Source organism: Homo sapiens, chromosome 2, assembly GCF_000001405.40.
Source record: "Homo sapiens chromosome 2, GRCh38.p14 Primary Assembly".
Classification (NCBI taxonomy): domain Eukaryota; kingdom Metazoa; phylum Chordata; class Mammalia; order Primates; family Hominidae; genus Homo; species Homo sapiens.
In genome coordinates, this window is record NC_000002.12 from 66,242,074 (window position 1) to 66,256,829 (window position 14,756).

General features: G+C 42.0%; 4 annotated features.

Moving 5' to 3' along the window:
• Positions 1,710-2,655: an enhancer, noted in NCBI's record as "OCT4-NANOG-H3K27ac hESC enhancer chr2:66470915-66471860 (GRCh37/hg19 assembly coordinates)". NCBI's record gives its function as "activates a minimal SCP1, AML or CMV promoter by ChIP-STARR-seq in naive H9 embryonic stem cells {active_cell/tissue: H9 hESC(naive)}" and the evidence as "EXISTENCE:reporter gene assay evidence [ECO:0000049][PMID:30033119]".
• Positions 2,656-3,601: an enhancer, noted in NCBI's record as "H3K27ac hESC enhancer chr2:66471861-66472806 (GRCh37/hg19 assembly coordinates)". NCBI's record gives its function as "activates a minimal SCP1, AML or CMV promoter by ChIP-STARR-seq in naive H9 embryonic stem cells {active_cell/tissue: H9 hESC(naive)}" and the evidence as "EXISTENCE:reporter gene assay evidence [ECO:0000049][PMID:30033119]".
• Positions 6,329-7,252: an enhancer, noted in NCBI's record as "OCT4-NANOG-H3K27ac hESC enhancer chr2:66475534-66476457 (GRCh37/hg19 assembly coordinates)". NCBI's record gives its function as "activates a minimal SCP1, AML or CMV promoter by ChIP-STARR-seq in naive H9 embryonic stem cells {active_cell/tissue: H9 hESC(naive)}" and the evidence as "EXISTENCE:reporter gene assay evidence [ECO:0000049][PMID:30033119]".
• Positions 7,253-8,175: an enhancer, noted in NCBI's record as "OCT4-NANOG-H3K27ac hESC enhancer chr2:66476458-66477380 (GRCh37/hg19 assembly coordinates)". NCBI's record gives its function as "activates a minimal SCP1, AML or CMV promoter by ChIP-STARR-seq in naive H9 embryonic stem cells {active_cell/tissue: H9 hESC(naive)}" and the evidence as "EXISTENCE:reporter gene assay evidence [ECO:0000049][PMID:30033119]".

Below are 14,756 nucleotides of genomic sequence, written 5' to 3' on the forward strand. Positions count from 1 at the left end.
GGCCCAAGATTTCTTTTAAACTCTTCTAAAAGGTGAGAATGTGCCTTTCTAATTAACTTTAGGATATGTTGCTTTAAAGAGTTATTTTTAACATTTAAACATAAACAATATCAGTACTAAATATAAGATCAAAGAAATACTGTTTCCATATGGAGTTGCCAAAGCACAGAAGCATGGCTGGAAAGTACAAGTTTCCTTTGAAGGTGGTGTTGCTATCAGTATTGCTTACTCAGCAGTCTATTAATATCAAAATAAAGTGCACATATACACATATATTCATTATATCCTGCCTGGTGTAAAAAAATTTCACTCTTCCCACCCTTAAAAACAAAATCCAACATCCCAAACCTAGGCCTTCAGGGCCCTTTCACTAGTTTTTTTTTCCAAATGAACACATTTAAAGTAATGTTTGAAGCCTGTGGTATCAGAATTTATTTCTACAAAGTTAACTCTATTTAATATCCTTGGCTCTAAGCTTAATTTGCTAAATCATGCTGTTTTTGAAATTTATTGCAAAATTATTGTTCTCTAGGGAAATAATTACCATTCCTCTTCTATGGCATTGCTTTCCTCTGCATGTGAATTTAAGTAAAGAGATTTAAAATCAGCTCTGTGTTTGAGTAGGTATCAATCAAGACAGGGCGATCTAATATTATATTTGAGTTTAAAAGAATATATTCTGTTCACTCAAATATCTGATTTTTCTGAATGAGAACAATAGGACATTAAAATTAGAAAAGAATCCTAAGAAATGATTGTATGCATCTATTTATTTATAGACTGCCTTGTTGGAAGGATCCTAGGCAGCTTAGAAGGATATATAAAATTTAGCAACATTACATAAATTAGAAGTGGACATAAAGCAAAGGAGAAAACACCAGCATAAAAATATAAAATGGAACCAGCAATGGAGCTAATATAAGCTCACAGACTTCCATACATGAAGCATAAATTTGACTCAGACTTTTTAGTTTCAAGGTAAAAACAAAAACTTGCTCAAGACTACATGACTCATCAGTAATTGAGGTGTTCAGAACTTCACAACAGAAGTTCAAAACGCTTTACCAATTATTTGTTTGGAAGCAGACTATGATTTCTCATCCTCTGCAGTGAATGCTGTTGTGGTAATAAGGAGGAGGAGGTTGACCATACTGTGTCTGTTTTTCAATATTTTGGTAATGCTTCCTGATTCTCTTTTGGGGAATTGCCTTTCCCTTGTTTTAAGTGAAGATGCTGTGTCCCTGTCCCTCCCAAGCTCCCACCTGGCCCAATCTGACTTTGTCCCACCCAGGACATTGAATCTTAAACAGGCTGTGCAATAGCAAGAGGAGACAAATGACTGTGGCTGCTTCCTTCCCAGTGGTTGTGCACAACCAAGAAAGTGACTGGTTTGTGCTAATGCCCAGGTTCCAGTCCCTCTCAGAGCCTGGTTCTCCAACCTTCCTATCAGTTCTTTGAACCATCCAATATCAACCAGTAAATGTCTTTTCTGCTTAAGTTCTGTTGCCTAAAACCACAGAACCCTAAGTGAAACACAATGTGAGCCAGGCTACCTAAGTGCAAATGGGTTAAATGATGTGTCTGGAGCCTATAGGGAATTTTAGTTAATTGTGGAACCCTGAAACTCTAATGCCCAATTTACTGCAAAATGGATATGATGTAGAAATAATTATTGGTGAAGAACATTTCCGTCCACAGCAATAATCATTGCCAAATGACATGCATCTTTTTTCTTCATTAAAATGTTTTGAATGTGCTTCTCTGTCCTGTGTAGGACATGGATGTATTTAGGAAAACATTTTGGGAAACTATCACTGTCAGGCCTCTGAGCCCAAGCGAAGCCATCGCATGCCCTGTGACTTGCACGTATATGCCCACATGGCCTGAAGTAACTGAAGAATCACAAAAGAAGTATATGCCCTGCCCCACCTTAACTGATGACATTCCACCACAAAAGAAGTGTAAATGGCCGGTCCTTGCCTTAAGTGATGACATTACCTTGTGAAAGTCCTTTTCCTGGCTCATCCTGGTTCAGAAGCTCCCCCACTGAGCACCTTGCGACCCCCACTCCTGCCTGCCAGAGAACAAACCCCCTTTGACTGTAATTTTCCTTTACCTCCCCAAATCCTATAAAACGGCCCCACCCTTATCTCCCTTCACTGACTCTCTTTTCGGACTCAGCCCGCCTGCACCCAGGTGAAATAAACAGCCATCTTGCTCACACAAAGCCTGTTTGGTGGTCTCTTCACACGGACGTGCATGAAATTTGGTGCCGTGACTGGGATTGGGGGACCTCCCTTGGGAGATCAATCCCCTGTCCTCCTGCTCTTTGCTCTGTGAGAAAGATCCACCTACGACCTCAGGTCCTCAGACCGACCAGCCCAAGAAACATCTCACCAATTTCAATTCCGGTAAGTGGCCTCTTTTTACTCTCTTCTCCAGCTTCCCTCACTATCCCACAACCTCTTTCTCCTTTCAATCTTGATGCCACACTTCAATCTCTTCCTTCTCTTAATTTCAATTCCTTTCATTTTCTGGTAGAGACAAAGGAGACACGTTTTATCCGTGGACCCAAAACTCCCACGCCAGTCACGGACTGGGAAGGCAGCCTTCCCTTGGTGTTTAATCATTACAGGGACGCCTCTGATTGTTCACCCACTTTTCAAAGGTGTCAGACCATGCAGGGACGCCTGCCTTGGTCCTTCACCCTTAGCGGCAAGTTCCGCTTTTCTGGGGAAGGGGCAAATACCCCAACCCCTTCTCTCCTTGTCTCTACTCCTTCTCTGCTTTTCTGGGAGAGGGGTAAGTACCCCTCAACCCCTTCTCCTTCACCCTTAGCGGCAAGTCCCGCTTTTCTGGGGCAGGGGCAAATACCCCTCAACCCCTTCTCCTTCACCCTTAGCGGCAAGTCCCGCTTTCCTAGGGGGCAAGAACCCCCCAGTCGCTTATTTCCGCACCCCAACCTCTTATCTCTGTGCCCCAATCCCTTATTTCTGCACCCTGACCTCTTATCTGTGCCCCAATCCCTTATTTCCGTGCTCCAACCCCTTCTCTGCTTTTCTGGAGGGCAAGAACCCCCCACCCCTTCTCCATGTCTCTACTCTTTTCTCTGGGCTTGCCTCCTTCACTATGGGTAAGCTTCCACCTTCCGTTCCTCCTTCTTCTCCCTTAGCCTGTGTTCTCAAAAACTTAAAACCTCTTCAACACACACCTGACCTATAAATGCCTTATTTTCTTCTGCAATGCCGCTTGACCACAATACAAACTCGACAGTAGTTCCAAATGGCCGGAAAACGGCACTTTCAATTTTTCCATCCTACAAGATCTAAATAATTCTTGTCGTAAAATAGGCAAATGGTCTGAGGTGCCTGACGTCCAGGCATTCTTTTACACATCAGTCCCTTCCTAGTCTCTGTGCCCAGTGCAACTCGTCCCAAATCTTCCTTCTTTCCCTCCCGGCTGTCCCCTCAGTCCCAACCCCAAGTATCGCTGAGTCTTTTTAATCTTCCTTTTCTACAGACCCATCTGACCTCTCCCCTCCTCACCAGCCCAAGCTAGGTCCCAATTCTTCCTCAGCCTCCGCTCCTCCACCCTGTAATCTTTTTATCGCCTCCCCTCCTCACACCTGGTTGGGCTTACAGTTTCGTTCTGTGACTAGCCCTCCCCCACCTGCCCAGCAATTTACTCTTAAAAAGGTGGCTGGAGCCAAAGGCATAGTCAAGGTTAATGCTCCTTTTTCTTTATCCCAAATCTGATAGCTTTTAGGCTCTTTTTCATCAAATATAAAAACCCAGCCCAGTTCATGGCTCATTCGGCGGCAACCCTGAGACGCTTTACAGCCCTAGACCCTAAAAGGTCAAAAGGCCATCTTATTCTCAGTATACATTTTATTACTCAATCTGCTCCCGACATTAAATAAAACTCCAAAAATTAGAATCTGGCCCTCAAACCCCACAACAGGACTTAATTAACCTCACCTTCAAGGTGTACAATAATAAAAAAAAAAAGTTGCAATTCCTTGCCTCCACTGCGAGACAAACCCCAGCCACATCTCCAGCACACAAGAACTTCCAAACGCCTGAACTACAGTGGCCAGGCGTTCCTCCAGAACCTCCTCCCCAAGGAGCTTGCTACAAGTGCCAGAAATCTGGCCACCAGGCCAAGGAATGCCTGCAGCCCAGGATTCCTCCTAAGCCGCGTCCCATCTGTGCAGGACCCCACTGGAGATCAGACTATTCAACTTACCTGGCAGCCACTCCCAGAGCCCCTGGAACTCTGGCCCAAGGCTCTCTGACTGACTCCTTCTTGGCTTACCGGCTGAAGACTGACGCTGCCTGATCGCCTGGGAAGCCCTGTAGACCATCACGGATGCCGAGCTTTAGGTAACTCTCACAGTGGAAGGTAAGTCCGTCCTCTTCTTAATCAATATGGAGGCTACCCACTCCACATTACCTTCTTTTCAAGGGCCTGTTTCCCTTGCCTCCATAACTGTTGTGGGTATCGACAGCCAGGCTTCTAAGCCTCTTAAAACTCCCCAACTCTGGTGCCAACTTAAACAACACTCTTTTATGCACTCTTTTTTAATTATCTCCACCTGCCCAGTTCCCTTATTAGGCCGAGATATTTTAACCAAATTATCTGCTTCCCTGACTATTCCTGGACTATAGCTGCATCTCATTGATGCCCTTCTTCCCAATCCAAAGCCTCCTTTGCTTCCTCCTCTTGTATTCCCCCACCTTAACCCACAAGTATAAGATACCTCTACTCCCTCCTTGGCGACCGATCATGCACCCCTTACCATCTCATTAAAACCTAATCACCCTTACCCCACTCAACGCCAATATCCCATCCCACAGCACACTTTAAAAAGATTAAAGCCTGTTATCACTCGCCTGCTACAACATGGCCTTTTAAAGCCTATAAACTCTCCTTAGGATTCCTCCATTTTACCTGTCCTAAAACCAGACAAGTCTTACAGATTAGTTCAGGATCTGCGTCTTATCAACCAAATTGTTTTGCCTATCCACCCTGTGGTGCCCAACCTGTACACTCTTTTGTCCTCAATACCTTCCTCCACAACTCACGATTCCGTGCTTGATCTTAAAGATGCTTTTTTCACTATTCCCCTTCACCCCTCGTCCCAGCCTCTTCGCTTTCACTTAGACTGACCCTGACACCCATTAGGCCCAGCAAATTACCAAGGCTGTACTGCCGCAAGGCTTTATAGACAGCCCCCATTACTTCAGTCAAGCCCAAATTTCTTCCTCATCTGTTACCTATCTCGGCATAATTCTCATAAAAACACACGTGCTCTCCCTGCCAATCGTGTCCGACTGATCTCTCAAACCCAAGCACCTTCTACAAAACAACAACTCCTTTCCTTCCTAGGTATGGTTAGTGCGGTCAGAATTCTTACACAAGAGCCAGGACCGCACCCTGTAGCCTTTCTGTCCAAACAACTTGACCTTACTGTTTTAGCCTAGCCCTCATGTCTGCGTGCAGTGGCTGCCGCTGCTTTAATACTTTTAGAGGCCCTCAAAATCACAAACTATGCTCAACTCACTCTCTACAGTTCCATAACTTCCAAAATCTATTTTCTTCCTCATACCTGATGCATATACTTTCTGCTTCCTGGCTCCTTCAGCTGTACTCACTCTTTGTTAAGTCCCACAATTACCATTGTTCCTGGCCCAGACTTCAATCTGGCCTCCCACATTATTCCTGATACCACACCTGACCCCCATGACTGTATGTCTCTGATCCACCTGATATTCACCCCATTTCCCTATATTTCCTTCTTTCCTGTTCCTCACCCTGATCATGCTTGATTTATTGATGGCAGTTCCACCAGGCCTAATCGCCTCACACCACCAAAGGCAGGCTATGCTATAGTACAAGCCACTAGCCCACCTCTCAGAACCTCTCATTTCCTTTCCATCGTGGAAATCTATCCTCAAGGAAATAACTCCTCAGTGTTCCATCTGCTATTCTACTACTACTCCTGGATTATTCAAGCCCCCTCCCTTCCCTACACATCAAGCTTGAGGATTTGCCCCCACCCAGGACTGGCAAATCAGCTTTACTCAACATGTCCGGAGTCAGGAAACTAAAATACCTCTTAGTCTAAATAGACACTTTCACTGAATAAGTAAAGGCCTTTCCTACAGGGTCTGAGAAGGCCACCACAGTCATTTCTTCCCTTCTGTCAGACATAATTCCTCAGTTTAGCCTTCCCACCTCTATACAGTCTGATAACAGACCGGCCTTTATTAGTCAAATCAGCCAAGCAGTTTTTCAGGCTCTTAGTATTCAGTGAAACCTTTATATCCCTTACAGTCCTCAGTCTTCAAGAAAAGTAGAACGGACTAAAGGTCTTTTAAAAACACACCTCGCCAAGCTCAGCCACCAACTTAAAAAGGACTGGACAATACTTTTACCACTTTCGCTTCTCAGAATTCAGGCCTGTCCTCAGAATGCTACAAGGCACAGCCCATTTAAGCTCCTGTATAGACGCTCCTTTTTATTAGGCCCCAGTCTCATTCGACACCAGACCAACTTAGACTGTGCCCCAAAAAAACTTGTCATCCCTACTATCTTTTTTCTAGTCATACTCCTATTCACTGTTCTCAACTACTCATACATGCCCTGCTCTTGTTTACACTGCTGGTTTACACTGTTTCTCCAAGCCATCACAGCTGATATCTACCTTTTATACCTGTTTTTCTCCTTCTCTTATTCCATTTAGTTTTTCAATTCATACAAAACCGTATCCAGGCCATCACCAATCATTCTATATGACAAATGTTTCTTCTAACAACCCCACAATATCACCCCTTACCACAAGACCTCCCTTCAGCTTAATCTCTCCCGCTCTAGGTTCCCACGCCGCCCCTAATCCCGCTTGAAGCAGCCCTGAGAAACATCGCCCATTCTCTCTCCATACCACCCCCCAAAAATTTTCACTGCCCCAACACTTCAACACTATTTTGTTTTATTTTTCTTATTAATATAAGAAGGCAGGAATGTCAGGCCTCTGAGCCCAAGCCAAGCCATCGCATCCCCTGTGACTTGCACGTATACACCCAGATGGCCTGAAGTAACTGAAGAATCACAAAAGAAGTGAATATGCCCTGCCCCACCTTGACTGATGACATTCCACCACAAAAGAAGTGTAAACGGCCAGTCCTTGCCTTAAGTGATGACATTACCTTATGAAAGTCCTTTTCCTGGCTCATTCTCACTCAAAAACACCCCCACTGAGCACCTTGCGACCCCCACTCCTGCCCGCCAGAGAACAAACCCCCTTTGACTGTAATTTTCCTTTACCTACCCAAATCCTATAAAACGGCCCCACCTTTATCTCCCTTTGCTGACTCTCTTTTTGGACTCAGCCCGCCTGCACCCAGGTGAAATAAACAGCCATGTTGCTTTACCAATTATTTGTTTGGAAGCAGACTATGATTTCTCATCCTCTGCAGTGAATGCTGTTGTGGTAATAAGGAGGAGGAGGTTGACCATACTGTGTCTGTTTTTCAATATTTTGGTAATGCTTCCTGATTCTCTTTTGGGGAATTGCCTTTCCCTTGTTTTAAGTGAAGATGCTGTGTCCCTGTCCCTCCCAAGCTCCCACCTGGCCCAATCTGACTCTGTCCCACCCAGGACATTGAATCTTAAACAGGCTGTGCAATAGCAAGAGGAGACAAATGACTGTGGCTGCTTCCTTCCCAGTGGTTGTGCACAACCAAGAAAGTGACTGGTTTGTGCTAATGCCCAGGTTCCAGTCCCTCTCAGAGCCTGGTTCTCCAACCTTCCTATCAGTTATTTGAACCATCCAATAATCAACCAGTAAATGTCTTTTCTGCTTAAGTTAAGTTCTGTTGCCTACAACCACAGAACCCTAAGTGAAACACAATGTGAGCCAGGCTACCTAAGTGCAAATGGGTTAAATGATGTGTCTGGAGCCTATAGGGAACTTTAGTTAATTGTGGAACCCTGAGACTCTAATGCCCAATTTACTGCAAAATGGATATGATGTAGAAATAATTATTGGTGAAGAACATTTCCGTCCACAGCAATAATCATTGCCAAATGACATGCATCTTTTTTCTTCATTAAAATGTTTTGAATGTGCTTCTCTGTCCTGTGTAGGACATGGATGTATTTAGGAAAACATTTTGGGAAACTATCACCATACAGCCAACCTCTGTGTTAGACTTAAACATTAATATTGCAAAATCTTTTATTTCTCCTAATAAATACTGCCTAATCTTAACATTGCTGAAACCCAACCACATGAATCATACTTTATATGTGATAGTTTATGTCGATGATGGGATTTTTTTTTCTCCCCTTTAAAGTTCTGGACTGAAAAGAGAGTGGAACAAGAACTACCAAGTACCCAGAACAGTCCTGAAGGCCCATTAGGCCACGGGGGATGAGCCTGATGATGTTCTGGTAAATGTTTCACAGCAGATTCTCCAAAAAACAAAGCTCTGATTTCTAGTGCTTGCAAATTTCTGTGGTAAACATACTCCTACCATGGCCAATGTCAAGCTACTAATATGATGTCACCAAACACAGAATTGGAAAGAGGTGTACACAAAGGGCTCTCACAAGCTGGTGCTAACTGGCTCCAGTGCCCCACTGGAAAGGTCCCTCCTGATCCCTCTCCTCTAACTGAGTCCAAGGAAGGACCTCCAAGGAACCAGCAATCCATTACTCTGGTGGCTCGTGTTCTTCTTCTAGAAGAAACATTTGAAACCTCTGTGGTGAAGTTGATCTCTGTAAACCAGTCAGCTAACTAATGGGTAATAGAAGTGTCTCTCTCTTCCTACCTGAGAATCGTCCTCTGCAATGTCAGAGTGAACAGAAATGATTCATCATGAATAGGCTTGCTAAGTGAAAAGCATCCTTTAGTTTCCATTCAAGAGAATGTTCATTTAAAGACAAAGCGACCTGCTTTAGCTATGAAAAACAAATGAGTTGAAAATATATGCTTTTTTGCAAGAAAAAAAAATCACAACTCAAAGGCAAAGTATACTAAAGTACAGTTTAAGACAGAGTAATGTCATGGTGAAGAACATGTGCCCTAAATCCAGCAATCTGGACTTGAACACTGGCTCAGCTTCTGGGGGGCTGCAACTGCCCTTGGGCAAGTAACTTAAGTTACAGAACCTCAGTTTGCTCCTCTGCAAAATGAAAATGTCAATAGGGTTTCCATGAGAACTTAGATAATAAGATGCAAGTAAAGGACTTGGAACAGAGTCTGGCACCTGGTAAGTTGTTAACGTCATTGCCCTTTGATTGTCCAGTCTGCCCTTTCACAGAACTCAGCGTGTTTGGGTTTCCTTTCCTAAGATGCAGCAGCTGCCAGTAAAGTCCATTCACCCCAGAATAAGGGTCTGGTAAATGAACTATTTGCAGAAAGCCAGGCCTTGCAGGGTGCTTTCAATGGGCAAGAGGACACGATGACAGGTGCCGACGAGGTATTCCTCTCCACTTCCTGGGAAAGAGGGCAAGCCTGTAACAGGTGCAGTCATGGGGGCCCCAGTAGGGGATGGCTGAGAGGATGAAGCTTCCATTTTCAGAGTTTGGATGAAAACAATCAGAGCCCCTTTTCCAGTGGAACTTGTAACTGCTTACTCATCACAAATAACTTAAAGCATGTCATCACCATTCCTGGCTGCAGGAATGAATCCTGCCCAGAGAGGAGATCTGTTTTCTTCCTTAAAGCCCTAAGAGTGTTCTGCTTCAATTCCCTGTGTGGGACATAGATATATTAAATACAAAAAAAAATGACCATAAAGTGAACATTAAGGTTGAGAAATGAGGTCTGAGGATGCCAGGAAATTCAAAAGTAAGTGTTCCCCCAGCACCTCTAATTCAGCCATCTTTGCAGTAATGCATCCTTTCCGATTTCTGAATCCTCAGCGGAATTCCCATTTCACATAGACTCTGGATCCTTCAACTAAGCCAGGGGAGGGATGTTTGGGGGTTCCTCTCCCTCCTTCTCATTTCCCCAGGTCGTGGGAAAATCCTGTCTAGGACCCTTCCACCAAGACCTTGAATGAGGCCAGGCATGGCAAAGTACTCTTGAGAGCCCCAGGGAGGAGCTCAGCCCCAGGAGGCTGGACTAGTTCCTTTCCCAGCCCCTCCCGGAGAGCCAGGAGGCTACTCCTGGCTCCACATAGCAAATGTATACATGCAGATATCCAGGATGCATTAGTGGTTCGACACAACTGATGTGCTCAGGCACCTCCGGGGTACATTAGTTGAAGTGGCTACGGCAGCTGGTGGCTCCTCTTCAGCCATAATTTATCTATTGCACTTTACTTAATGTGCAAAATTAAATTTATGCTGAATCTGTGTGTATTACCTACTGTGCATGAACGGCATGAAATATACCACAAAGCAAATCAGCACAGAGCCATGCTCTTAATTGCTAATGGCTTTCAACACACTTCATTGTGATCTAAACCAACTTGGAATCCATTCTCCATTGAGAATCCCACTCATATCGAGGTTGAAAGTGCTTCTTCCGAGAACCTTCTGGAGAACTGAAGGAGACAATGAGCAATGCTTTTAACTCAATCTTTCTAGAACACATGTTCTCTAGATCACAGATTCTGCACTTTTCACTAATATCGTGATCAATACAGTTGCTACAAAGGGCATGGATTTGCTGAAAACTAAGCAAATCAATGTGAAATATATTTTCGAAGTAAAATAAAGGAAATAACCCAAGATTCAGTCCTAGTTCTGAAACTGCCAGTCTATGGGACTGGCTCTGAGTGTCTGGTTCCATGCATTAAAACTTAATAATTGGAATAATTGATTTCTGCATCTAATTAGAAAAAAAATCTATACAACCAAGTAAAGTAAATTTTATAAAAAACAAATATCTCAAAAGAAGCTTTAAAAAAATCTGATGTCACATGCATCCACACACATTCTCACACACCCAAATTTACACAAAGCAGAAATTAATTCACGTTTGAAATCTGATTCCACAAAGGAATTTAATTGAGGAATCAGAAAGGAAGAAAATAAGAAGTACACGGGCAATGGAGAAAATTAAATGTGACTATGTGTCTGCCAACAGTAATTATTCAAAATGTTTTCTGTGTTTCTTATCATTTTAAACTCTGCTTTAAAACTACAGAGATCATTTCTCATGAAAAGAAAAAGTTATTTGCTCTGCTGTTTACATTTGTACTGGAAAGGAGCCATCTGTGGAAATCTCATATTCCTCCCTTGAAAATAATTTGTAATTCTCCTCGCCTAAAGGACAGAGGAAAAATAAGAAAACCAGTGACTATATTACTTTTTAGATGTTATCTTTACATATTTTTCAGTAGGTAACTATGAGTATAAAAATTTCAAAAATATACCAGCCTTGTGAAGCTCAGAACTTTTACAAAAATAAGGAAATTATGTTAGGAAGAGTCAGAGTGATCGTTTTATTTATTCTATTCCTCCTTGTTATATCTCCCATGTTAAAATCGGGACATTATTCACTAAGGATTTTAATCTAACATTTCAAAGGTTTTGTTCAGTTATAGTGGTTCTTGATCTTCTGTGGTTTGTGATTGAAAAACTAAAATGTAGATATGAAATGGCATTCATACATAAATAAGTGTACATACATGTACATGCATTCTTTCAGTCACTGTCCTGTTGGATTATAATTGTTTGAATAAGTATGTATGTAGAAATGGGTTTCCCCATCACTTCTATTTTTGAATGCATAAATTACATTGTTTTCTGATTATTTAATGGTAGTAAACATACTTCTAGAGGTGAGATGCACTAGTGGCATCTGAGTCATTTTCTTTTTCTGAAAAAGCTATGTTAAAATCAAAGGCAACTCTCAGTAGAAAACATTAATTGAGCAACTACTAGATATAAGGCTTAGATCTGAAAAAAAAAAAAAGTAACTTTGCCCTTGCCCTATGGGAGCATGTAATTAAGTGACAAGGATAGACATGTACACAACTAATTCTAGTACTTGGTAAAGAGTAGTAGTTAGGATAGAGTGATGCAGGAAATAGTGTGCTGGGGCTCTGGGAGATCTGGAGGCTACAGTGATGTGTCAGCTGTCTTAGAAAATGAGTAAAACTTTGGTTGGAACACAACTGGGGGAGATGGGAGTGAAGAACAAAGGCAGAGGTAACTGCTTGAAGAACCATCTGGGTAAATGAAGAGGAGGCAAAGTGCCAAATTGTCAAGTTCCTTAAGATAGATGCATAGCTTCTAGCAGAGGCTGCCCTTGACTGGCTTAGAATGGGGCTAAAACAAAACAAAACAACAACAACAAAAACCCAAACAACAAAACAACAAGCAAACCAGCTGCGTCTCCCTTTTCTAGTCACAAAGACAAATTCATATCTTCATGATCACAAGTTTGCTCTACTCAAGAAGAAAATGATTTTATTCCTAATTCACAAAAGTTATAAGCTTGTTTTTTACCTTCACTATTTTAGATAGTTTAGCTACAAGCATGGCTAGAAGAAATGAGGACATTGTCCAACTCATTTTAAAATTCTATCTGTGATATTTTACTAGGTATGTTTTGGAAAACATGCTTTGCTAGGTTAACTCTTTGTTTTTCAAAAAAGGAATTCCTCTTCCTCTCTCTCTCTCATTGTCTTTCTTCAACATCAAGGGGCTTGAATTTGAGCCACAAAATAAAGTTGAAAGATATTTTCTTTTAATTGAACATTTGCATGATATGGATGTTAAAAATCAAAGAGGCTTTAGGTTTAAACCTTCCATTAAATTCCCCCACTTTCCTCTTCTCTGGGAGAGAATGCTTATTTACCCTGCTGCCCCAGGCTTGGTCTTCCCATCTCATTCAACACCAAGACTTTGTCAAAAGAGAGGTCAGTAGCCTCTTGGAATCTTTTGGAGATAGATAGAGCCTAGTAACCATTTCCCACAGTGGGGTTATCTGCTATCTGCCAGGGTTGTTTTCCTGAATGATATCTGATCAAACTACCCTGCAGTCTCTAAAAGCACCCAAGGGGGACTTCACTAACTTCTTTCTCTGCTTTCTATCAATCAGCCCAAGCCAAGATAATATGTGATCCAAATATTTTTTAAGTGTCAACAGAGACCTTGGTGATTGGGTATACACTTAGATAAAATCTGATTTATATTCTCTAATCTAGCTCATTATCCTAGATGGTTCCACTGATTTCCACTATGTTGTCCCTAATGTCAGGATCCAAAAGAAACCCTAGCAAATTTGCATTCTTTCCTTCTTGTTTTGGCCCAGGGACATTACTCATTGAAATTTAAGTGATAAGCAAAGGAAACAAACTACCTTGGAATTTGGCTGATTCTCTGGATCTCTGACCCAGTGTAGGGAAACTTCAAACCTCTAATCTCCAACATGCAAAATGGCTCTAAAGACTGGAAGCAATGAAATTTCACTAACTTTGCAAGAGAAAATAAAGCACCCACACAAAGTAAAATGGAAAGAGTATGTTCATGGCCAGCATTTTTCTCATACTTTCCATTCAGATTTTCTGATTTTTTAAATGAAATTGAAGATTGCATTTTATTTTCTTTTTCCTTTAAAACTATCAGCTTAAATGTCCAAGGTGCATTTAATGTCCAAGGTGCATTTGACTAAAGTCAATTTACTAAATTATTTTTCTTAGTGTTCCTCGACAGTGAGGAAGATTCAGCAGGAGTAGAGGGCCCAATCTCTTTAAATCTGACCTGAAATTGATTGCTCCAGGTATCAGTTATTTTCCTGGATGACGTGGGAATTGTCACTAGCCATGAAGCAAAACCTCTGGTTTTCCCACACAAGACCTATCCCAAGATTGGCAAGCACATTCCTATCTAAACCCTTCACGACAAATTACCACAGCCCCTTTTACCAAGTTAATTATAGAACCAAGGGGCTGGAAGGAGTGCCCAAGACATCATCTGGCCCAGCCCTCCATTTAAATCATCTCAGACAGATGGAAATCTATCCCGTTTTAAAAGACCTCCAGAGGGGGAGATTCCACAAGCCCAGTCAGTTACCCACTCGGCTGTTTAACAACCCCTGTCAGAGAGTCTCCCTTTATCTGTAGCTTAAATCTCACACACTGCACTTTAGGCCAATTTCTTCTTGTTCTGAAAGCCAACCTTCACATACCTGAAGACATTATTAAGGCATCTCTCCAACTTCTCTTCTCTGGGATGATCAATCCCAATTCCTTCCACTTGTCCTGGTAAATCTTACTTTCTAGCTTTTAATCATCTCTATGACTTTCTCCTGAACTTTGGTATACTTAAAGATTAATTGGAGATACAGGTGGTCATTCATGTCTTTGAGGCAGCAGTTCTCAAAACATTTTGCTCTCAGTACCCTTTTGACACTCCTAAAACTGAAAACCCCAAATAAATTTTATTTACATGGGTTATATTAGATTGGTGCAAAAGTAATTGTGGTTTTTGCCATTGAAAATAGTATCTATTAATATTTTCTAGATTAGAAATTAAGACTGAGACCTCTCTAAGACCCAAAATACACATGTAAGCAGTCCATTATCTGTCAGTGTGATGAAGTCATCACGTCACATAGCCTTTAGAAGACTCTATTGTATACTCATGAGAGAATGAAACTGAGAAGACAAATAACATATTTGTTTTATTATAAAGTAGTATGACTCTGAAGACCTCCTGAAGAGTCTGGGAGATCCTTGTAGTCCCAGGACCACATATTGAGTTCTGCTGTTTTATGGAAAGTGTGGCACTAT